Source organism: Homo sapiens, chromosome 15 (assembly GCF_000001405.40).
Source record: "Homo sapiens chromosome 15, GRCh38.p14 Primary Assembly".
Lineage (NCBI taxonomy): Eukaryota > Metazoa > Chordata > Mammalia > Primates > Hominidae > Homo > Homo sapiens.
In genome coordinates, this window is record NC_000015.10 from 24,998,738 (window position 1) to 25,023,726 (window position 24,989).

General features: G+C 36.0%; 1 long non-coding RNA gene across 1 annotated transcript in view, besides 1 other annotated feature; it reads left to right on the top strand.

The window, feature by feature from the left end:
* The window catches only part of SNHG14 (small nucleolar RNA host gene 14), a 595,855-nt gene that overhangs the window by 175,130 nt on the left and 395,736 nt on the right, over positions 1 to 24,989 (top strand). The window contains exons 17-23 of the long non-coding RNA NR_146177.1: positions 233 to 341; positions 1,508 to 1,637; positions 2,621 to 2,976; positions 3,988 to 4,151; positions 20,290 to 20,411; positions 21,091 to 21,132; positions 21,853 to 22,024. This is a non-coding gene — a long non-coding RNA (small nucleolar RNA host gene 14). The remainder of the gene's footprint in view (positions 1 to 232; positions 342 to 1,507; positions 1,638 to 2,620; positions 2,977 to 3,987; positions 4,152 to 20,289; positions 20,412 to 21,090; positions 21,133 to 21,852; positions 22,025 to 24,989) is intronic.
* Positions 23,565 to 23,859: an enhancer, noted in NCBI's record as "tiled region #7323; K562 Activating non-DNase unmatched - State 24:Quies". NCBI's record gives its function as "activates a minimal TATA promoter and a strong SV40 promoter by Sharpr-MPRA in K562 cells {active_cell/tissue: K562}" and the evidence as "EXISTENCE:reporter gene assay evidence [ECO:0000049][PMID:27701403]".

Here is a 24,989-nt window from a genome sequence, read left to right on the forward strand (position 1 = left end):
GTAGGCCTTTGGGGATTTATAGATCATTCAAAATTAGCAGGGGAAATTTTAAATATTCTCTGCATCTTTCTAAAAGGTGTGGTTTAAAGTTGGTGAGAAAGTGAAATGGTTGCTGGTTGAACTTGATTTTCTCTATTCACTATGCCTGGCTAGCCTAAAATTATCCTAATGGGTATGTTCAGGTGCCTGATTTGTATCTAAATGTTTCTGTATTGGATACTGTTTTTCTTAGGCAATCAGGATGAGTGAAAAATTGATTTGCAGCTGACCTGCAAATGGAATCATCAGGAACATCCCTTTCTCATGGAGTCCCTTAATTTACAAGTTAACTGCAAACATAGGTAAGAAGGTTCTGGTGCTATTTGGGGGTGAGGTATTGGTGAGGTTTTGCCTAAGCTCAGGAAAATAATACTGGTACAGGTGTATTTCTTGGCCACCTTGGAATTATCAAATGAGTTAGTCTTTAAAATATATTTTATCGAAGTGAAGGTATAGTTTGGTTCCCAGACCAAACTGAGGGTCGGGCTGCTATTTCTCGTGCCCCAATAATGAGATGCAGATGAACAGGGGAGGAAGAGTTAGAGCTAGTTACAGGAAGAAGGCCTGGAAATTGTCACCACACCAACTCAAAATTACAAAGTTTTTCAGAACTTATATACCTTCTAAGCTATATGTGTACATGTAAGTGTGTATCTAAAGACATAAGTGATCTATAACTAAGGTCTGAGTCTTCGAGACCTTCCTTTGGAGCCTCAGTAAATTTACATTAATTTAAATGGGTCTGGGTGCTGAGGTGATTACCATTATCTTGTTTCCTACTAAATCATGGAGGTTTGGGGAGTTCCTTTAGAACCCCCAATAAACTTGTTTGTGGAGGCCTGGAGAGTTTCTTCAGACCCCTAATAAAACTTGTTTAATCGTGCTTTAAGGTTCAAGAGAGGCCTAGGTAAAACTTGGTGGGCTTTTGTGACATTCCAACCTTTGTATAACAAAATGGCTCTTTCAGCTTTTAGTATTTAACTTAACCACTCCGTCAATACTGAAACAGTTGTTATGGAGGCCTCCATTAGAGGGACCTGGCCTGCCACAGGTGCGCGCGCACACACAGATGAGAGTACCTTTAATTAGTTTACTTATCTATGGTCAAACACGACAATATAACTAATAAAAGAAATGACCAGGCATCTAATTACTAGAAATTATAAAATTGACAATATGTGTGTTTTCATAAATGTACAGTTTTCACAAAATGTTTTCACATACAGTTCTTTGATAAAGGGTGAAGTTCATGGAAACCACAGAAAGATGCTGATACTGTAAACTATTAAAGTCATTACTGAGGTTGTAAGTTGACTTTGCTATAGGATTGATAATGGGAAGTGTTTCTAAATGTTAACATAACCTGTAATAAAGTTCAACATGAGCATTCACTTAACCTGCCGCCTTAGCTGTTTCATTAGAGTGGTATATATCTCACCTTACAGTGTTTCTTCTTTTTCCTTGTCAGGAGATGATAGTTCCAAGAAGGAACATTTTATCGTCTTTGTTTTTAATCTCAAGAATGGTACCTACCATCAGTGAATGACCTGTTGCAGTGCTTTCATTGAAGTGTTCTTCGTTCCCTCAGCAATATGATTGTAAGGGCAGTTGAGTGCTAACTTGACTGGGAGAGGGGCGGTTTGGTTAGACAGGACTTGATATATTCTGTTTTTCATAAGCTTGATGTTTTTTTCTGGCAGCTACTTGACATTCAGATCTGATTGGTTACATATTGCTATGTAATAAATTATCCTGAAACAGGGGCATAAACAATATTGTTATGTCCATGGATTCTGTTGGTCTGACCATGCCCAGGACAGTTTAGGAATTGTATCCTCTCCAAAGTTTCATTGTAGCTTCTGTGTTTTTAGTATAGTTACTATTTCTTTCTCATCAAATAGACTGAACTCCTTTTGTTATTATCATTTAAATATTTAGGCATTGTTGTCATGTATATTGTGCATAAATGCATGTATACTGCAGGTAATAATTCTGTATGTGAACAAGTGACCTAGAGGTAAAGGAATCCAAATACAGAGACGTGTGGATAATGTGGGAGAGGTCAGTTTTTCACAAGACATAGGAAAGAGGCTGGGCGCGGTGGCTCCTGCCTGTAATCCCAGCACGAGGCCGAGGTGGGTGTGTCGGTCACTTGAGGTCAAGAGTTCAAGAACAGCCTGACCAACATGGTGAAACCCCGTCTCTACTAAGAATACAAAATTAGCTGGGTGTGGTAGTGTAATCCCAGCTACTTGGGAGGCTGAGGCAGGAGAATCGCTTGAACCCGGGAGGTGAAGATTGCAGTGAGCCAAGATCACACCATTGCACTCCAGCCTGGGCAACAAGAGTGAAACTCCATCTCAAGAAAAACAAACAACAACAACAACAAAAAAGAAGGAAAGAGCTAACATCTGACCTCCTTTATTATTAGAATACTCCAAAAGGAATTTTGATCCACATGCTCTTTCTTCATAATAGAATGAATGTTGCATGTCATTTTACAGACAAATTTTATTAGTTCTTGCTGATGATATAAACTTTGCTTCTAACCTTTTCCCATTTTCCCAACTGTGTCTCTCAGGTGATGACTGAAAAAGGGAAACTGTGCCACTATTTGTACCATCATTTTCACCAAAATCTAAAAATGCTTTTTATGACGTATGGAGACATTCTTCATGTTTGTTTCAGTGGACACTCCTTGCAGATGTAAAAAACTGAGAAAACTCACTTTTGGAAAGTGACCTAAAGAGTGTCATTGAAGTGAATTTTAAGTAGGCACGATGATTGTTTTCATGGTTGCTGTTGGATCATATCTCAGGAGCTGGAATGACAGACATTATTGAACAAAGAAATCAGGATAGTGGAACTTAAAGGGCTTCATCTCAGTGCTTTCATAAGTATGAAGTGCATATATTTATAATTTTCACTAATCACAGGGTAAATATAAAATTGATTCATTAAAAATGTTTCATAAGAATTCAAAGGACATAGAATTTTGTGAAATGTAGTATTTTTACTTAAGTGCCTTTTCTCTGCTTCTACCCCACAGCCAATTTTTTATAAACCAGTTGATAACATAAGTAGTTTTTGGGGGATGATACATTACTTATACATTTTCTATGTAGTAAACATGTATGTGTATGTGTGTGGGTGTGTGTCTAATTACTTTGTTGGACAGATTCCTGTGGTTTGGAACTGCTGGGGCCAAGTTTATACAAAAATCTACATTTTTGAGTAAACTCCCCATGACTCTAGTAAGTTTCCACAGTATTTGAGTATTCTTTATTTCCTAAAGCTGTACAAACATCAGATAATCAATATTTGTAAGGATCGATAATATAATTTATAATGAAATTGCTTTATCAGCTATTAATGTTAACTACATCATCTTCATATAGCCTTATAACTCATTTGTGCTATTCCATTTTCCTCTGTTCCTTTTATTTTCACTTCCCTTGTAATGTTAGTCTCTTTGTACTGATTTCTGAAGAGTTCATTTATGATTAAACATGTTAACATTTTGTCTAGAATTGCAAATATGTTTTTTCTCATTCATTTTACTATGGTGTTTTATTTTTTGGTTATACAGAAGTTGTATATTGAAATATAATCTTGTTCTGTTTTATGACTTTGGAGTTTTGTGGTTTTTTAAAACATGTTTACATTGGTATCATTTATTTGTATTGCCTTCTATTTCAGCAGTTAGTTTGTCATTTCTTTTTCCATTAATCATCATTCTGGTGTTAATGAATGCATTAAATATTTAAAGTACTCACTTTGACCCGTGTAGTTATCTGTTAAGTTCTACCATAAAGAAAATTTCCAGGTAAAATTGGCTACATTTCTGTTAACTTGCCTTACCATTTTATTGACACTTTAATAATTACTAATGATTTATACTGTCTTATCTATTCCATTGAGTTCTATCTCATTTCTCTTCTTTTTCAGAATATTCCCTCTGTATACTTGCATTTTTTTCTATCAATTGACGCTTACAATTATTTTTGCAAGTTGGAAAAAAATGCAGTATTAATTTCATTTGCAACAAATTTAATAGATTAATTAGGAGAGAATAGATATCTTTAAAATTGAGTCTTCTGTCCAACTGCAAGGTAGGTCTTTCTATTTTTAATGGAATAATAATTTGGGGATATTGCTAGTGCAGTTTTTTAAAGTATTTTTTAATACTAGGCATTTTTTAGTTATTTGTTAATTTAGTGATTTGGATTAGTCATTCAACTTGTCTAATTGGTATGTGAAAACTTTTTGTATGTCTTTTCTAGTAATCTTTACTGAATTTCTAAAATTATGACTTTCTTGAACAATCTGTCATTTTAATTACCTTGATTAAAGTACATTTGTAAGTACTTCTAGGATATATGGAAGTAGAAAGTATACTTGGCAATTGGACTGTTAATTGCAATCCCCTTAGGTCATGGTTGTTTTTGTTCTTATTGGTATTTTAGTAATCTTTTAGAAGAAAGATGTTTTACCAAATTTGGTGACAGGTTTAATAAAATTTCTTTTTGTATAGTTGAAAAACTTGTCCTTATAATTATTAAGGTTAAAATTAACATATTCCAAAATTGAACATTATTCCATCCCATGAATGAAGTAAATTATATTTTAGTATATACTCCTTAATTATAGTTGTTATAATTTCATTTGGAATTTCTGAAATGATTCCTAAACAAACAGCTTTATACTTGTTCTGTTATCAGAGGTTTTTAATGTTTTACTGGCTCTTTGAAACCATTTTGAGTATTTCTGACACAGACTAGAAACAAGTAATATTTTTCTTTAATTATTTTGAAATGTTGGCTTAAAAAGGTGTTGAAATAATAGCGTGTTTTTTTTTTTAAAGTTATTTATCTTTTGTCCAAAATCAACTAAGCATTTATGCAAGCATGTGTTTTTTGGAACCCTTTTTTCTGTTTCCTTGTTCTTTGTGTTTTTCTTTATGCCAATATCACACTGTTTTGATAATTGTAGCTTTGTAGTTAACATTTTGAAATTGAGAACTGTGACTCTTCCACCTTTGTTCTTTTTCAGGTTTATTTTGCTCATTTCAGTCCTTTGAAACTCTGTATGAGTTTTAGGATTTTTTTTTTAATTTTTGCAAAAAATGTCATGGGAAGTTTACTAGGGATTGAGTCTGCACATTGCATGAGTATTATTGACATAAACAATACTAACTCTTCCAGTCCATGAACATGGGATGTCTTTTTATTTATGTCATTTATTTCTTTCAGAAATGGTTTGTAAATTTCATTGTACAAAAAATTTTCTTTGATCTTACTGGTTAAGTTACTTTCTAAGTATTGTATTTTTAAAATGCTATTGCAAGTGGAATTGTTCTTTGAACTTCTTTTGTGAATTGTTCATTGCTATTTTTGCATGCTGAATTTGTAGCCTGGTATTTTGTGGAATTTATCAGTTCTGAGATTTTTTTTTATGCTCCCAAGGAAAATTTTAGCCCGTAATAATTTTTTTGGAGACATAGTCTCACTGTTGCCCAGGCTGGAGTGCAATGGCACTATCTCCCAGGTTTGAACAATTCTCCTGCCTCAGCCTCCTGAGTAGGTGGGATTACACGTGTCTGCCACCACGCCTGGCTAATTTTTGTGTTTTTAGTAGAGATGGGGTTTCATCGTGTTGGCCAGGCTGGTCTCGAACTCCTGAGCTCAAGTGATCCTCCTCCCTTGGCCTCCAAAAGTGCTGCAATTACAGGTGTGAGTCACTGTGCCCGACCAGCCTATAAAATTTTAGTGGATGCCAAGAGAGATACTTCTACTTCTTTTCTGACTTGGGTGTCATTTCTTTCTTTTTGTTACTTGATTGCTGTGGCAAGGATTTGTAATACTGTGTTGAAAAGAAGTGGCGAAAGCAGGCATCCTTGCTTTTGTAACTGATACTAGAGGAAATCCTTTTAGTGTTTAACCTTTGAGAATAATGTTTGTTTTGAGTTTTTCATTTATAGCTTTTACTATGGTGATGTGATTTCATCTATTCCTAATTTGATGAATGTTGAATTTTTTATTCCTTAGTCTTTGTCTTGCTTTGGTAAGAGGGTAATGCTGGCCCCATAAAATGTGTTGGGGAGTGTTTCCTCCTTGAATTTCTTAGAAAAGTTTGAAAACACTTGTTATTTGTTATATAAGTATTTATTTGATGGAAGATTTTTTTTTTTTTTTTTTTTGAGACTGAGTCACGCTCTGTCGCCCCAGGCTGGAGTGCAGTGGCGCGATCTCTGCTCACTGCAAGCTCCACCTCCCGGGTTCACGCCATTCTCCTGCCTCAGCCTCCCAAGTAGCTGGGACTACAGGTGCCCGCCACCACACCCGGCTAATTTTGTGTATATTAAGTAGAGATGGGGTTTCACCATGTTAGGCAGGATGGTCTCGATCTCCTGACCTTGTGATTCGCCCGCCTCAGCCTCCCAGAGTGCTGGGTTTACAGGTGTGAGCCACTGCGCCTGACCGGAAGATTTTTCATTAATAATTCAGTACTGTTAATAGTTTCATGCGTGTGGTTTTGTTTTGGTGGCCTTTAGTTTCCTAGGTTTGTAGGAATTTGTACATTTCATCTAGATTATCTAATTTTTTAACATTCACTTGCTTATAGTACTCTTACAATCTCTTAGTTCTGTAGACTTTATGTTTCTGATGGTAGCAATTTGAGTCTGCCCTCTTTTTTTCTAGTCCACTTAGCTGAAGCTTTGTCAGTTTTCTTGATTTTTGTTTATGAAGAACCAAGTGGTTATTTTGTGTTCATTTTCTGTTTTATTCATCTCTATATCATTCTTTATGTCCTTCCTTTTCCTCTTTGTGTTTACTTTGCTTGTGTAATTCTTTAATTTGTACAGTTGGTTGATTTGAAATTTTTTTTCATGTTACATTAATAGGTGTAAGATTCATAAGAAAACATGTTTTATTTTCATTTTCATTCATTCCCACATATTTTCTAATTTTCCTTATAACCTCTTGGTGTACTAGTTGTTTGTGTTTTCTCATGTCCACAAATGTGTGACTTTTCCAAGGCTTTCCTTCTGTTACTGATTTCTAAATTCATTGTCTTGCTGTGGTCAGAGAAGAGGCTTCTTTTTCTGTCTGTTTTTTCAAAATTTATTGAGACTGAATTTGTGAATTAACTACATTTGTTGTGAAAAATATCTCATGCACTTGAAGGGGAGTGTGCATTTTGTTGTTCAGAGATTGTTGTGTGCATATCTGTTAGATATAATTGATTTATTGTGATATTACACACTTCTATTTTCTCTTTTTTTGTGGGGTGAGGGGTGAGACAGAGTCTGGCTCTATCCCCCAGGCTGGAGTGCAGTGGTGTGATCTCGGCTCACTGCAACCTCTGCCTCCCAGATTCAGGCGAGTCTCCTGCCTCAGCCTCCCAAGTGGCTGGGATTACAGGTGCCTGCCACCACACCTGGTTAATTTTTGTATTTTTGGTAGAGACAGGGTTTTGCCATGTTGGCCAGGGTGGTCTCAAACTCCTGACCTTGTGATCCACCTGCCTCGGCCTCCCAAAGTGCTGGGATTACAGGCGTGAGCCACCACACCTGGCCCACACCTCTATTTTCTTGTTTTCTGGTTATTCTACCCATCATTGAGAGTAGGTTCTTGAAGTCTATATTTCTTAGTGAGGAAATGTCTATTTCTCCCTTCTTTTATGTCAATTTTTGTTTCATATATTTTGATGGTTTACTAGGATCATAAATGTTGGTCATCTTTATCTTGTAATTTTTATTAATGTATAATGTACATTTTTGTTTGTTGTAACATTTTGGATTAAAAGTCTGTTTTGTCTGACTTAAGCAGTCTACAAAATAACTGCTTCTGTAACACCTTCTCTCCTACCCCTTTCAGTTGATGCTACAAAATTATATGTTTAACATTGTGTATCAAAATATATATATATATTTGAGATGGAGTCTTGCTCTGTCACCCAGGCTGGAGTGCAGTGGCGTGATCTGGGCTCACTGCAAGATCCGCCTCCAGGGTTCATGCCATTCTCCTTCCTTAGCCTCCCGAGTAGCTGGGACTACAGGTGCTCGCCACCACGCCTGGCTAATTTTTTTGTATTTTTAGTAGAGACGGGGTTTCACCATGTTAGCCAGGATGATCTTGATCTCCTGACCTTGTGATCCGCCCGCCTCGGCCTCCCAAAGTGCTGGGATTACAGGCTTGAGCCACCACACCCGGCCCAAAATATATTTTGTAAAATTTATTTTTTGTTAAATTTTTTAGAAGATAACTTGTAGAGTTATAATCAAAGTTACAATAATATTTACTGGTTTTTTGCCTAATGTGTGGTTTTATAATTGATCAATTCAAGTCATGTAGAATCTAAAAAAGGCAACAGGCTGGGCATAGTAGCTCATGCCTGTAATACCCAGCACTTTGGGAGGCTAAGGAAGGAGGATTGCTTGAGACCAGGAGTTTGAGACCAGCCTGTGCAACATAGCAAGAGGCTGTCTCTACAAAACAAATTTTAACAACAAAAAATAGCTGGGTATGGTGGCATATTCCTGTAGTCCCAGATACTCAGGAAGCTGAGATGCAAGGGTCTCTTGATCCCTGAAGGTTGAGGCTACGGTGAGCCATGATGATGCCACTGCATTTTAGCCTGTGCAACAGAATCAGAGCCTGTTTCATAATGAAAAACAAGTGGAGGGACAGTACACCATTATTAACCTCTCATAATTGCTCAATTATTTACCTTTAACCACATCTTTATTTCTTTATAGGGCTTCCATTTACTATTTATTTCAACCTTCAGGAGTCTTTTCAGTGTTTCTGTTTGGTGGGGGAGCAGATCTAATGTAAACAAACTCCTGTTGTTTGTACATCTGGGAACGTATCAATTTCTCCCTTACTTTTTAATTAACAGTTTTGTTGGATATTAGATTCTTAGTTGAGTATTTTTTTTTTTTTAGCACATTGAATGTGTCAGTCCACTACCTTCTGGCCTTATGAGAAATTGACTGATAATCCCTGTTACATGATATCGTTTTTCTATTGTTGCTTTCAGAATTCTTTCTCTTTTGCTCTTCATAGTTGAAAGATATTGTGTCTCATTGTGGGTCTTTGAGTTCATCTTGCTTGGAGTTTGTTGAGGTTCTTAGATGTTAGAATTCATGTCTTTCATCAAATTTGAGAAGTTTCCATCTAGAATTTCTTCAGATATTCTTTCTATTGCATGCTTTCTCTTTTCTGGGAATCCTGCATCGTTTGTATTGGTTAGCTTGGGTGGTGGACCAGAAGCTGTTTAGACTCTTACCTTTCTTCAATATTTTTTCTTTTTGTTCCTCAGAATTGATAAAATTCTGAAGTTTGCTGATCTTTTTTGTTGCCTGCTGAGATAATGCATTTGAATCCCTGTAGAAAATTTTTCATTTCAGTTAATTGAATGTTTCATGTTCCAGAATTTCATTTGGGGTTCCTTTTTGAAAGTTTTTTTATTTTTGATTATTGATCCTTCCATTTTGCTCATGCATCATTTTCTTAACCTTCTCTATCACTTCCTTTAGTTCTTTGAGCAACTTTAAGACAGTTGTTTTAAAAGCTGCTTACCTGTCTTACCATCTTTGAGATCAGAAGTGGTAAACTGATGAGAGCACAGCCTCTCAATGTTTGTATAACAGAGTGGTGTGTTTTGTTTTTTGTTTATGCCTACCATCACTCCTTCTGCAAGCTGTATGTAAGTTGTCCAAGAAATGTGTACAGCTACCTTGCGTGAGGGTGTAGGAGTTAGGGATAGGTAATTTGTACTTTGCTAAGAGTTGATGTTGAGTGAAATTAACCTCAATAAATCTGAATTTAGGGTTAATACAATCCTCCAGAGTTCCAAACCAGTTATATCATACCGATTATTCTGGTGTATTTATCATCTCAGGGGGAGAAAGAGTTCTGTTGCGTCCTGCTCTGCCATACTCCCAGAATCCTCAGCTCACCAGTTTTTTAGTTTGTTTGTTTTGTTTTTGTATGGATACAGTTTCTCATTCTGTCTCCCAGGCTGTAGTGCAGTGGCACTATCATAGCTCACTGCAGCCTCGACTTGTTGGGCCCAAGGGACCCTCTTGCCTCAGCCTTCTGAGTAGCTGGGACTATGGACATGCCCGAATAATGTTTCTTTTTTAAAGAGATGGGGTCTTACTACATTGCATAGCCTCATCTCGGAGTTCTGCACTCAAGCATTCCCCCAGTCTCAGCCTCACAACGTCCTGGGATTCTAGGCGTGAGTCACTGTGCCCAGCTTGTTTTACAGTAGTGAAATGAATCTGCCCATTTATACTTTCTGATTATCAATGAAAGTTGTGTTCTATAATTTTGTTGCTTTTCAGTTGTGATAGTTTATGCATCACATAAAATTTGCCATATTAACCAGATTTAATTGTACTACTCATTAGCATTAAATGCACTCACAGTGTTGTGTAACTAACACCATATTCAAAACTTTTGTCATCTTAATTGGAAACTCTATACCTGTTACTCTAATCCCTAGTCCCTTGTCTCCCCAATCATGTTTTCTGCATTTGATTTTGCCTATTGTAGGTATTTCTTACAAGTTGAATCACATAGCATGTGTTTTTTGGTTCCTGGCCTATTTTACCTAATGCTTTCAAGTTTCATGTAATACATGAGAACTTCATTTCTTATTATGACCGAGTAAATCCATTTTGTGTATGTATACATGTGTGTATACATGAGTGTGTGTGTATACACATATAACACAATTTTTATCCATCTGCTAATGGATAGAATTTTAAATCTATTCCTCTGCTAATGGACATTTTATATGCCAGTGCTCACCAAAACATTCACAGTGTCCATTAAGAGATGAATACATTTAAAAATATGTCCATTAATATTTGAGTGAGCATTGGCATACAAATATCTGAGTTCATGTCTTCGTATCTGATTATGTATATAGGGGAATGAAATTGCTGAGTTATGTGGTAATTTAATGAACTCACTTTTTGAGGAAATATTTGTTATTTATTATGAGAAATTGAAGTCACCAAAAATGAGAACTGAATAATGAACCTTCTCATATCTAGCAACTAGAGTTAATAACTATGAACATTTTGCCATATTTTGAAAATTACAGTTACCATGGTGATTTAATCCTGAATAGGTTTATATTTTTATGTATCAATTTTTAAAATAATCACAATATCCTATCTCTACCTAGTAAAATTTACTAAAATCCCTTATGTGTCTTCTAAACACACAAAGAAAAAACAATTCTCATTTAAATTTCTCAAGGTTGTGCATGGTGTCTCAAGCCTGCAATCATAGCATTTTTGGAGGCCAAGGCATTTTGCTTGAGCCCAGGAGTTCCAGATGAGCGTAGGCAAATAGTGAAACCTGTTTTCACAGGAAAAAAAAAAAATGAGGTATGGTGGCATGCACTTGTGAACCCAATTATTTCAGAAGCTGAAGCAGGAGGATCACTTAAGCAGTAGGCTACAATCACAACACTGAACTCCAGGCTGGGTAACAGAGTGAAACATTGGCTCAAAAATATAAAAAATTCTCAGTTGTGCGAATGATACAACAGTTTTTTGAGCAAATCTGGATCCAAGTGAGTAATTCACTTTTATCTAGGCTATTTTTATGTTAGTCTTGACTGTATTAATTTATATTCAATCTTAAATCTCTCTTAATTAAGGTATGAAAGTCAACCCTTTTTTGGTTCTATATTTAAGTAATTTTTAAAAAAATCTTGAATTAAAAACATTATTTAGAAGTAACTTTCATATTCTACTGGATTTCTTATTTGCTGGTTTTTTTGGGGGGATTGATTCTACCCTTTATTTTTAGTATTCTGAATGAGTTTTGGTGAGCTACTGTGGTCCAAAATATATATTGTGTATACACAATACATAGTCTGAATTCTTGTATAACAAAAGTACAGTCCATATTTGTAAGGGGTGCTTGGAAAGGTATATTAGGTATATTACCTTACATGTGTAGATCTTCATAAGTAATAGTTGGCAAGGTCTGCTATAAACTTGTTACATATTTCTATATTTGTCATTATATTAGAGACATTTTTAGTCTTTGATGTTATTTTTCCCATTAATATGGTGTCCTGACCTGGTCATGCTTTCAGTTTTTCATGAGATCATGCTAATGAAATTTCTTAAAAGTTTTGCAAATATAATCTGATAACGTACTTTGATTTTTTGAAAAAAAGTCATCTCTTACCCAGTAAATATCAACTAATTGCTGGTTTTCTTTTGTGATTTCTTCTCAATGTATTTTATATTAAGGTTTGGAGATACCAGTCCTTTTAAGCCTAATCCTCATGCTATCTGGTAAAAATTATTAACAACTAAAAATTACTTAATGTATATTACAAAGGAGGTAGTACCATCTATGAAATCTTTTTGATAAATCTTACTCCACTCTGTCTTATGTATGTTTAAATGAGCACCAGAAGAATTATGCATTACATTTCATTTGATTGGTTAATCTTTGAGCTCTTGGTTTTTAATATTTGTTTCTTGCTGTTTTCTCTTTGAGGAAATGAGTTATTTGCGATATAAAACTTTCACATTTCTACATTGTGCCCATAGTAGGATGCCACCCCTGTGGTCATGTTTAATAGTTTTTTCTCAGTGTTTCGGTGTTTAATATTTTCTATCATTTTTTTAAAAAAATATTCAACATTGAGACATTTTTCTCAATGTATTATATTCTCAAGATCTGATTTTTTGTCTGACTAGTTTTATCAAATCATTAATTCAGCCATTTATTATATGAACACCTTTTGTAAAACAGAAGAACACTAATTTATCATGATATTTTCATATATATTTTGTGATATTGAGAATCATTAAGTATTTTATCACCTGCTTTTTACAAAAACACAATAGTCTCTCATTTCACTAATAGTTATACATTTGCTCTAAGTATCAGTAAATTTACTCTGAATGATAAGTTCTTCATTTAAATAGGAACTTAATCAACTTTTTTGGGATTTCAGTTCAAAAGGAAAGGTAAATAAATGTTTTTTCCCTTATCTTACCATTTATATAATAATGAATTGATGTGCAAGTAATCTTCAAAGGTGACTAGTTTTTAAATTCATGTTCTTTATTCAGAAGACAGAAAGCATTTTCAGGAGATTTGAATATTTGAAGTTATATTTTAAAGGTGATAATGCTAATAGCATAATTAAAAAACAGTTTCTGCATGTAAACACATGGTAGAATATAACAGGTAATATATATTTGTAATTATTTTTCTATTTCATGTTTATTCAAATGTATGTACAATCTCTGTAGCTTGTAGTTTGGCTGTGTTATGCTTTATAAAATTTATTTATCTGAGACAGGGTCTCACTCTGTCGCCCAGGCTGGAGTGCAGAGGCATGATGTCAGCTCACAGCCTCCACCTCCCAGGTTCAAGTGATTCTCCTGCCTCAGCCTCCCAAGTAGCTGGGACTACAGGCGTGCACCACCACATCTGACTAATGTCTATGTATATATTTTTTAGTAGGGTCAGGTTTTCACCATGTTGGCCAGGCTGGTCTTGAACTACTGAGCTCAAGTGATTAACCTGCCTTGGCCTCTCATACTACTGGAATTATAGGCATGAGCCTCCACACCCGGACATAACATTTATTTTTTATTTTATATTTTATATTTTATATTTTATTTTATTTTTGAGATGGAGTTTTGCTCTTGTTGCACAGGCTGGAGTGCAATGGCACGATCTCGCATCACCACAACCTCCAGCTCCCGGTTGCAAGCGATTCTCCTGCCCAGCCTCCCAAGCAGCTGGGATTACAGATAAGTGCCACCACGCCCGGCTAATTTTTTTATTTTTAGTAGAGTCAGAGTTTCGTATGTTGGTCAGGCTAGTCTCAAACTCCTGACCTCAGGTGATTTGCCCGCCTCAGCCTCCCAAAGTGTTAGGATTACAGGCATGAGCTACCACGCCCGGCCCATAAAATTTATTTTTATCCCAGTTGTGTGTACTTATTTACTTATGTATTTATTTATATTTATTTATTTGAGATGGAGTCTGACTCTCTTCCCCAGACTGGAATGCAGTGGCACAATCTTGGCTCACTGTAGCCTCTGACACCAGGGTTCAAGCCATCATCCCACCTCAGCCTCCCAAGTAGCTGGGATTTTAAGCATGTACCACCATGCCCAGCTAATTTTTATATTCTTAGTAGAGACAGGGTTTCACCATGTTGGCCAGGCTGGTCTTGAACTCCTGACCTCAGGTGATCCACCTGCCTCGGCTTCCCAAAGTGCTAGAATTAGAGAGGTGTGAGCCTCCATAAGGAATATGATTTGAAGGGAAGAGGGGATATGAGTGTGAGGTAAATGTTTTCCTATTTAAATATTGAAATATAAAAGGCTATTCAGTTTCCATTCAAGTAACATTTGGAAGCTTTTTATTTCATAATACTATTTTGTGTAGAAACCATTACTGTTTGTTTTGTATTTGTGTAGGTAAAAAGTATTATGAAATTATGTAATTACAGTATTCACTCTGCCAAAAAAAACAAAAATAATTATAACTCGGGTATCTAATGATTGAACATTTAGTAATTCTTCCCTGACAAAAAGAGAAAAATATTATAACTCAGGTATCTAATGATTGAACATTTAGTAATTCTTCCCTGATTATAAAAGTAGCACATTTATACTTTGGAAAATAAAACAGCATGTATGGGAAAAAGTAATAAACATAGAGAAATTCCATCACCTCCCTTCCCCTCTCCTCCAAGAAAAAGTGGCTTACGCCTGTAATCCAAGTTCTTAGGGAGCCAGAGGCAGGAGGATAGCTTGAGCCCAGGAGTTTGGGACTTGCCTGGGCAATATAGCGAGACCCTGTTTCCCCACCCCACCCCCCCAAAAAAAGAAAAACGTAATTCCATATTTTACAGGTTTAGTGTTGACTTCATAAAAGATGGAAGGGAAGGTTATCAGAGTATCCCATTGTAGTGATTATAGTGCTCAGATTCTAGCTCCATACCTGTTAGAACACATTCGCAATTGTCAGCTTAAACTATATTTGTATGTATTGTTTGTCTGTTTTGTATTAAAGGCAAAAGCTCATTATCAATTAGTTGTATGTTTTAAAGAGTTGGCCACAACATCCATCATAAGACCTATCTAAAGAGGAATACATGATGTCTTAGTACAAAGGAGTAGAGATACAATGAATGTATTTATTTTCATGTTTCTTAAGAGGGAATGCACTAGCAATTGACGGTAAAATAGATACAAATCAAGTAAAGAAACCAGTATATTTTTAGTCATTATGTCGCTTTGAACAACAATTTGTTTAATCATTTTGCGGTAACTGGTTGCTTGGAACTGCCTTATTTTTTGTATTCAATATATTTATTTATGGGAGTGTATACATATTCCAGGGTGTTCTAGTTCCTCAGGGAAAATCTGGATGACATAGAAGAATTTTGTTCTTTATTATGAGTCAATTTATAATTTCATCTTTTTTTAAAAGGCATTTTTCCTACAGCTAGACGTTTTGATTGTCACTTTTGTTGTGAGAAAAAAATTACAAAGACGTTGTAAAGATTGGGAATGAGGAAGGTGACTTGATCGGGTATCACAGACTTACAAAATCTTGTATGTAATTAGAGTTATGTTAATGGCACATTTATAAGCAAAGTAATGTCATGGAATGGAAGACCCATAAGTTGACATGAGAAACAGAAAGTGTATTAAAGTTAATCTGCATTCATGGGGGCAGATTGTTAGCCAAATGAATAAAGAATTAGATTCATCTTCATGGTATGTAGCATGAAGAATTTAAAATGAATCAGAGGTTTAAATTAACTGCAGAAATTATAGAGTTTCAGAAAACGAATTTCTCTCCAATTTTGAGGAAATTACTGATGATACACATTGTAGAAGCAACAAGAAACACAAAGATTGATAGTAAAAATGAAATTACAGAGTTGAAAAAGTTGTGACATCACATAAGAAGAGTGAAACCCTTGGTGTGTAAGATATAATCGGGGAAAAATACCAGTTCAAAGGAAAAGTGACTTGAGCACATAGTTCACTGAAAAAAATACACAAAGTGCTGTTAATCATATAAAAGGATTCTTGGGTTTGCTCATAATAAGGATAATGACAATTGAAAATACAACTAAGATATAATTAGTTTCTCTACTATTAGACTAGCAAAAGTCCAGAAGTTTGACAACATTTTTTTTTTTTTGGCAACATGTTCGGAATTATGGAAAATCATACGTTGCTTCTGGGCATGTAAAATGTAAACCATATGGGTAGGAATTTAATATTTTGTAAATTTATATCTGTGGCAAATACATAGTTCATCTCCTAGTAATATGTAGCAGTAAGAAGGATTGATGGATGTTTGTATACCACTATGTGATAATGTCTTGGATATAATGTAGAAATAGGGGAGAAGTCGGCTACAGGAAGTAAAAATGGCAATATGGTGCTCAGGGTGCATTCATCACTATAACAGATAACCATTTTGTTAATGGTGCCCTGCGCGGTAACTGAAATTGTACTGGGCTTTCAACAGAATTTTGTCAAAATGGGACGCTGCATGAGCTAATAAGTTGTGAAATAAATAGGGTTTTATTGTGGAGTAATAAGTAACACAAAGAAGGGGGTTTGCAGTATCTTAGGAAGAAGAACAGACGTTCTTGGTAAAGTTCCTTTAATATGAAAATAGCATTTTTAAATACTTGGAGTAGTGAGTGAAGAAGCTTTCTCTATGAGAGCACGGTTAGTTCCCAAATAAATCCCAGCCTCCTCTCTTCTGTTAATTTCTTCGGAAGGATTTGAGGTAGCTTTTGAAGTATTTGGTCAAAGTTGCAAACTCCTCGGGAGGAGGCCAGGCATGGTACCTCACGCCTGTAATCCCAGCATTTTGGGAGGCTGAGGCGGGAGGATCACCTGAGGTCAGGAGGTCAAGACCAGCCTGGTCAACATGGCGAAACCCTGTCTCTATTAAAAATATAAAAATGAGCTGAGTATGGTGATGCACGCCTGTAATCCTAGCTACTTGGGAGGCTTGAGGCAGGAGAATCACTTGAACCCAGAAGGCAGAGGTTGCCGTGAGATGAGATTGTGCCACTGCACTCCAGCCTGTGTGACAAAACAAGACTCCTCCTGGAAAAAAAAAAAAAAAAAAAAGGAAACCTGAGATTCTGCTTAACAATTGTAAAGTCAGAAGGTATGAAGAGTATTTGAAGTTAGACCTGTGGACAGGCTGATTGGATCTTCAGCAGTATGAGAAAGTTTAGTTAAGCCAAGGTACTATGTAAAACTCCAAGCTGTACAGAGCTCTGCCTGGCCAGCTGGTCAGCACTTGGGTAATGAGGAATTGATAAATGGCAAATTGCTTCATTGAATGATTGGATTAATAGTAGCATGAATGGATAAATTAACGGGAATGGGTATATAAATGGGTATGAGATCAGGAATATTAATGGAGTCACAAGTAGATGATGCGTAAATGGGACTATATGTGTGGATTGATGGATGGATGGACCCTGAAATGCATTTTTGATGGAATTAGGGAACAAGAATAAATATAATAGGAAGTGTGGTATGCATGTAAGCATGTTTGTGTGTGTATGTGTATATAGGTTGATGCAAGAGTGGAAGGGTAGTAAGGACAAAAACTTTGGACAGCTATATTGACAATGCAAAATAAAAACATGAATGTATGAATGTATGAATTTGACGGATATGTGCTTGAAAGAATGAAGTCAGTTTAGGAAAGGATAATTAACAAATCTCAGTAATGATTGTAATCATGTGATTCTCACAGTAACTGTTCAACAGTGACTGTTAAGGATGCTGCGTGCTCATGGCAGTAACTCATGGGCAGATGTCACAAAGACAGTAATACCTCTTATTGCTTTTATGACAGCATAAGGTTTTATTTTTCACTGTGGCTTTGTTAGAGTTATGGAAAGTCATCCATTGCCTCTTAAATACGTAATGGTAAATTGGGTAAAGGAATTGGGTAAATCACATGGTTTTCCAAAACTTCAGGAGATTTAGAAGCTGTATTTTATGTTTTCTCAAGGAAAGGATGAAAAGGACACGTTAAACACTGATAGTGTCTACTGTAGGATACCTTTCTGGTCTCACAAACTAGGTATACTTTCTACTTAAATGGAAACTATCCCCTTCACAGTGGGAACCAATAAAAACCTCACCCAGGTAAAAATCCAGCGTCTCAGTGATGCTATCTCCCTATCATGAGGTAATTCACAGTAATCTGTACCTTAAGTCTCAGTGTACCTACTGTTGGCCCAGAGATAGGTGAAACTTAAAGATAATTGTACCTTGGCTGCATGTAGTGGCTCATGCCTATAATCCCAGCACTTTGGGAAGCTGAGGCGGGCAGATCACACCGTCAGGAGTTAAAGACCAGCCTGGCTAACATGGTGAAACCCTGTCTCTACTAAAAATACACCACACCCTGGTGTGGTGGTGTGTGCCTGTAATACCAGCTACTCAGAACGCTGAGGCAGGAGAATCGCTTGAACCCGGGAGGCAGAGGTTGCAGTGAGCTGAGATCGTGCCATTGCACTCCAGTCTGGGCAATAGGGTGAGACTCCATCTCAAAAAAATAATAATTGAACCTTATTTCCTTTTGTACAATGTACAATGAGCAGAGTCAGGGCAACTATAATACAACTCCAAACTCTAAGGTGTCAAATGTGATAGAAATCACTTTTCCATTGAAATTTTGAAATCCCTCTGGAAATACACTGTGAAGGCTCCCTATACTGTGCTAGAGAGTGTTTTACTAGGGCCTGGAAGATGCTCACTTTTTCCTTGTTTTCCTTGGCTGTAGCTTTTACCTCTGGCACACTTTCCCAATCCCCTTATCCTACTTAATTATTTTTAAAATAGGCATTGTGGAGGATGTTTGTTCATATTTTAAGTCTTAATCATGGGCTTCTAGTTTCTTTGGAAGTAAAAGTGACCCATTAAAAATGTAAAATGTGTTATGTGCATCATGGGCACAGGAGTTTCGTGGCCTATATGTGATTCTAACTTATATCTTACCATGGTGATCGTAGAACCATGTGTTGATATGTAATTTTCAAAAGAGGTGAATGCCCTTGGCACAGTAATCTGTCATATTTAGCAAAGCTTCCCTGAGAGCCATCATAACAGACCCACAGGAATATTTTCATTAGTAAGAAGTAGATGTGTTCAGCCAGTAAAATTTTGAAGTGGCCATGACTTCAATCTGAGTACAGAGGGAAAGTTACACACAATAATTCAGTGATTGGTGGATAGGTGCGTTCAAGGAGGCAGGGTTGGATTGGTGTTTTCAAGCTTGGTAGTAGTAGTAGACAGGCAGACATGTGAGTTGATGGAAGGATGCAAGAATGGTTACTGAAATTTTCTTTGTATTATATGGTTAATGTGGATTTAATAACTAGTCATTGAAATTATGTGGGATTGGATATTTAAAGCCCAGAAAGATGAATATAATAATCGTCTAATATAATTTGAAATATAATAACGGATGCATGCAAAATTGGGTGTATTGAATAATGTAAGAAATAGATGGAAAGTAGAATATGAGCAAATGGCTGGATGCAAGAATGGAGAATGCAGGTTTTAAAAACCTGTTGGGTGTATGTATGGTTATATGCACAGTGGAATCATTTAGTGAAGGTGCAGATGGTTATATGCCTAGGTGTTATCATTGGATGGATCAAAAATGGAATGCTGTATGGATAGATCTTTAGATTGATGAGTACAAATATGGCTATCTAAAACCTTGGATAAATGTAGGGATCAGGGTTCAGGTACATTGGTTGCATAAGTGATAGCTGCCTGTTTGGTGGCTTTAGAGTGGCTTAATAGACTGATAGATGGGTTGATTCACAAGGTGATGGTACAGGAATTTGATGACTATGAGAATGGGCTGATGCAATAATAAAGTCATATATGTAAAGTTGACTGGAAAGATGGACATTTGAAAGCCAATGGTATATTTTCACGGGCAGATTCATTATGAAATTATAAAAGTTTTGTTTTTGCATTCTCAACATGATGTGTTAGCAAATAAGCAAAAACTAACTGCAGTGGGTTCACAAGTTAGTTTAATTAAAATGATCTTTCAATATTTTAATAATTTGGGGACTTTAGGAGGTTGAGGAATGAGAGAACTTCACCTTCTGTATATTAACTGGTCGTATGTCACAATTTTCCCATATTTTTCACAGTTATAGCTGAGGTGGTACCAGTTTAAGAAGTGAGAACTTCTTCACTGACTGAAATTTGCATATCAATCCAAATCATTGTGCTTATTTACTATTTTTGTAGACGTCATTCTTCAAAAGTGCTGGTAAGAATCAGTAACCCTGGTGTACTGTTTATTTTTGACCAGTTTGATATTGAATCTAATTTGTAATATTTTAAAATCCAAAACTATACATGAATTCTATAAAACACAAAGTTGTGAATTTGTGGAGTGATTATCAGTTAGGTGAAATAAAAGAGATAAAAGGGCTCCCTAAATTTTGACACAGTTTTGATATGTAGTTTATGCAGGTTTTGATTTACCAGTCTTATCTACTCTCACCGTAGTATGTAATGTCATCTGGACTGAGACTATAACTTTTTATCTGTATACTCAGTAAATTTTATATTATTTCAGTAAATTTTATTGAATAAATGCTCTGGAATAAATTCATCAGCTAGAGGGAGATAAGAAGGAAGTCTGGCAGCCTGTGGAAAATAAAGAAAATGGATAGGCTATTAAAAGATGTCAGAGACCAAAGTCATTAGGAATTAGAATTTACTATAAATAGTATGGGTTATAATGAGAGTAGCAGGTTTAATTTTAGTTCCAAGTGCATGATTTAGGATATCATCAGTAAGTAGGTAAGGTCAGCAGATAGGAGTTGAGGAATATTTCAACATTGAAGTGGTAAAAGTAGGGTCTTAACACCCTTTCTTTCGATGAGTGAATGAAAAATCTTCAACTATTTTCCAACATTCCTGTTTTTCTTTTTTTTCACAAGCATCTTCAATAGTCAAGGAGGACAAAGACATCTTTCCTGCAGGTAAAATCATTAAAGACTATATTGTGATTTTGAAGCTGTTCTATTTGCTACGTTGAGGATATATTAGATTCTTATTTGAGTTCTTTGAAATTAAATTTCTTTTCTCATACATCCTACTTTGTGGTTATGTGATTATTTTGAGTCGATATTTTAATCAAGGACTTTATAGTTAACTCTTGTTAATAACCAACATTTAATGAAATCAGGCATTTTCTTGACTTTAGTACCACGAGAAGTTGCACAAGAAGCATACAGGGTAGCAAGGAGAATTGATGGGTGGATACTGGGTTTTAGTTTGTGGAAAGATCTTAATGGAATACACAGAGTATCTTATTAGTATTTCCTTATATTGTGTCTTTTAAAAAAATTCTTAACCCCTGAATTGGTGTATAAATTAGAATGAAGAAACTACACAGGAAATGCTGGTTCAAAGAATAAATAGGTGGTTGGTTGGCGTGAAAATAATTTGGAATAGGAGATAGGTATTCAAATCACAAAAAAATGTGTAGAGAAACGAAGGAAAATGGCAGCTTTATCATTTGCATACAGTACGTATACCTGGTTTTTGTAGGTTTTGGGTTATTCCACATCAGATTGTAGGAGTTCGGTTTTATGGAGTATTACTTGACTTGAAGATGATATATTTCTGTCACCAGGCATGGCTGTGTCATAACCTGTTGTTTATTTCCATTTGCAATCTCTTCTTCTGTACTCTCTCAGGTGGTGACCATGTGGATAATAGGATCATAGACAAATGGTGGTTCCATCTACAGCATCACCGAAATGCTGTTGTTACTGCTTCTTTCTGGGATCTTCTTGCATCTTTGCTTCTAAAGGGGCACACCTTTTATAGAAGTACGTCCAGGAATAGAAGTGACCTGCTTTTTCGCAAGTAATTGCCTGGAATGTTTTTATGTACTTCTCTGCACTCTCAATACATTTCATGCTTCCCTCTATTTTTGTATATTAACTCATTGTATTTCTTAAATTTATATTTTACTTTATGAATGGAAGTGAGATTTGTGTATGGTAAATATAATTAATTCAACCCCATGGATACGTTAGTCACTGTCCAGATGATGGCAAGTCTTTCTCAGAAGCAGAGGGCCTTGGTGTGCCAGTGATTTTTTTTCCCCATGTGTAAGATACTTTTTTTCCTCATTTGAATCAGGAGCCCACAGTTTTTAGACAAGTCCCAAATGAAATCTTAAGCATTTGTGTTATCTGGACTAGACCTTCTGTAGTATCCTTTTTGTTAGACCTAGTATATCTCATTGCAGATCAGGATCTGAGATTGACTATAGTTCACCTCTTTCCAAGTACACAAACTTGGATGACATGACAACTGAGTGTGTAAGGGAGAGCGAGACCCTTGCACTGCCATTTGAGCCCTTGTGATCTCATCTTGTAGAACATGTTGTACAATCATTTTATTGGTATCATTAGTGTTATTTGGGGCTGGAATAAAAATCTCAGTGCACCAAAGAGATTTCCCCTTTATCCACGTTACCCTGGTTTTCCTTTGTTTTCTGTTTAACCTAAACGGGCTTAATATAAAATAGTGCTTATTTGGTGTTTTAATTGTCTGCTTCTATAACATAAGCTGCACTGTCCATTGGGGAACTGCTCACCATATTGCCCAACCTGTCTTGATAGGTTTATACATGGGAGGCATTCAGTAATATTAATTACCTCTCTAGACCAGTGTTAGCAATAACAAACACTTGCTAGAATTTTAAGACTATATAATCAATCACTTTGATGTCAGTTAATCCTACCAACACAAGATTAAAGGTTTAAAAATCTCATACGTGTACAGCCATTAGTGTCTCCTTTCATACTATATTATTTTGTTCATTGGCAGCTAGATTTTTAGGTAGAACTTGTGTTCCTTTTTGCAATGCTCATTTATTTTACCTGGACAGAAGGTGCTCTTCTGTCTCTTCTCCAAAGTTAATTTATCTCATACTATTTCTTGTGTTAATATTTTCCAAGTTCAGTATGCTGTTCTGGTTATAAGAAGATCAGTGTCCTAATCACACACTTTTACATTATATGAAACATCATACAGAGTTTTGTAGTCTGTATAACAATACACAGAGGTAGCAAAATTTGTAAAAGAGCAGACTATATAGTCCATACTGTAGTAACTACTCAACATTGCCATTATACGTGAAATCGGCTATAACCAATTCATAAACAAATGAATTTGGCCGTGTTCTAGTAAAACTTATTTACAAAAACATGTGTTAGGCCAGATTTGGACCACAGGCTGTAGATTTCTGACCTCTGGCTTACAGCAGAAGTTTATTATGATCCTGGGGAAGGTGGATATACATGGAAGGCAGAAGCGAGAAGATGTATTCCATCCCATGTCATTTTTCTGAACCCTCAACGTAGGAAGTTAAACTAAAACATGGGGCAGAATCTGCTTTAAGCCTTTGAATTCTTGGCTCTTAAAGCCAGGTTGAGGGTTATGTGTTTTTATTCTTTTATATCTCCTTTTCACTTAGGCTTGGCAACTAGTTCATTGAAACAGAGCCAACAAGAATGAGTGAGTCACTCAGTGATATGAAGCAAGCTGTGGTCATTTATCTACTACCTTCCATACCTACTTCCTAGGTTTGATAAGTAGTGTTTGTAGTGTAGTTGTCAGTAACTTTTCTCAGCTTACATAAGTTTATGTGGAATTCATTTACAAATGTGTGATTATTACGATAGATGTTATTTTATAAATTTCAAGGTTCTTTAATACAGCATGGACATGTTTCTAAATCAATAAATATAGCTTACCCACAGACTTTTTATGGGATGTAAAGTATGTATTACAACAGGTAAATCCATTTCTCTGTTTTGGGAAAGCAGGTTAATGTTTTGTTTGTTTTGTTGCTGCATATAATGTTGCACTATATATATATTCTAATGCAGTTGGTCTCCTAATTCTACAGGATAAATGTCTAGCTGTGGCATTGTTGGATCATCAGTTTCGTTTCAGTTAGATGCTGTGAAATTGCTCTTGAAAATGGTGTCCTCTGCCACCACAGAACGGTGTTGTAATGGAAGTGCCAATTTTCATAAAAACTTGTGTGCAACAGGTATTAAGAATTTTTGAGGTCGGGCGCAGTAGCTCACGCCTGTAATCCCAGCACTTTGGGAGGCCTAGGCAGGTGGATCACCTGAGGTCAGGAGTTCCAGACCAGCCTGACCAACATGGTGAAATCCCATCTCCACTAAATACAAAAAATTAGCTGGGCGTGGTGGCATATACCTGTAATCCCAGCTACTTGGGAGGCTAAGACAGGAGAATTGCTTGAACCCAGGAGGCGGAGGTTGCAGTGAGCCGAGATTGCACCACTACACTCCAGCCTGGGTGATGAGCGAAACTCCATCTCAAAAAAAAAAAAAAGCTTTAAATTTTTAGCCAATCTAATAGGTGAAAATGGCATTTTTAACATAAGTCTGACTTAAACAATTAATGGCCGTGGCTAAAAGAAGAATCAAATAATGATGTGTGATTTATAAGATAAGGAGGCAGTACCCCATTTTTCCTCACTCTACCCAAAAATCCTGTTTATCTGAGCAAGAAATCATTAATATTTTCTAAATCCGCTTGGAAGTTCATAAACGCCCTAAGTATACCTTATACCAGCGTTTTTATGACTTTGTATTTTTGAAATAATTTTAGATTCAGAATCGCAAGAATCATGCAGAGCGACCTGATTTACGCTTCACCTAGATTGACTTTTTATTCTGCATCGTTGTGTTCTTCCCCCACTTCCTCTTCTTGCTCTCGCCTCCCTTTATATGTTTATACATAGCATTATCATTTTATGTACTATTTGAATGATTTGCCGACA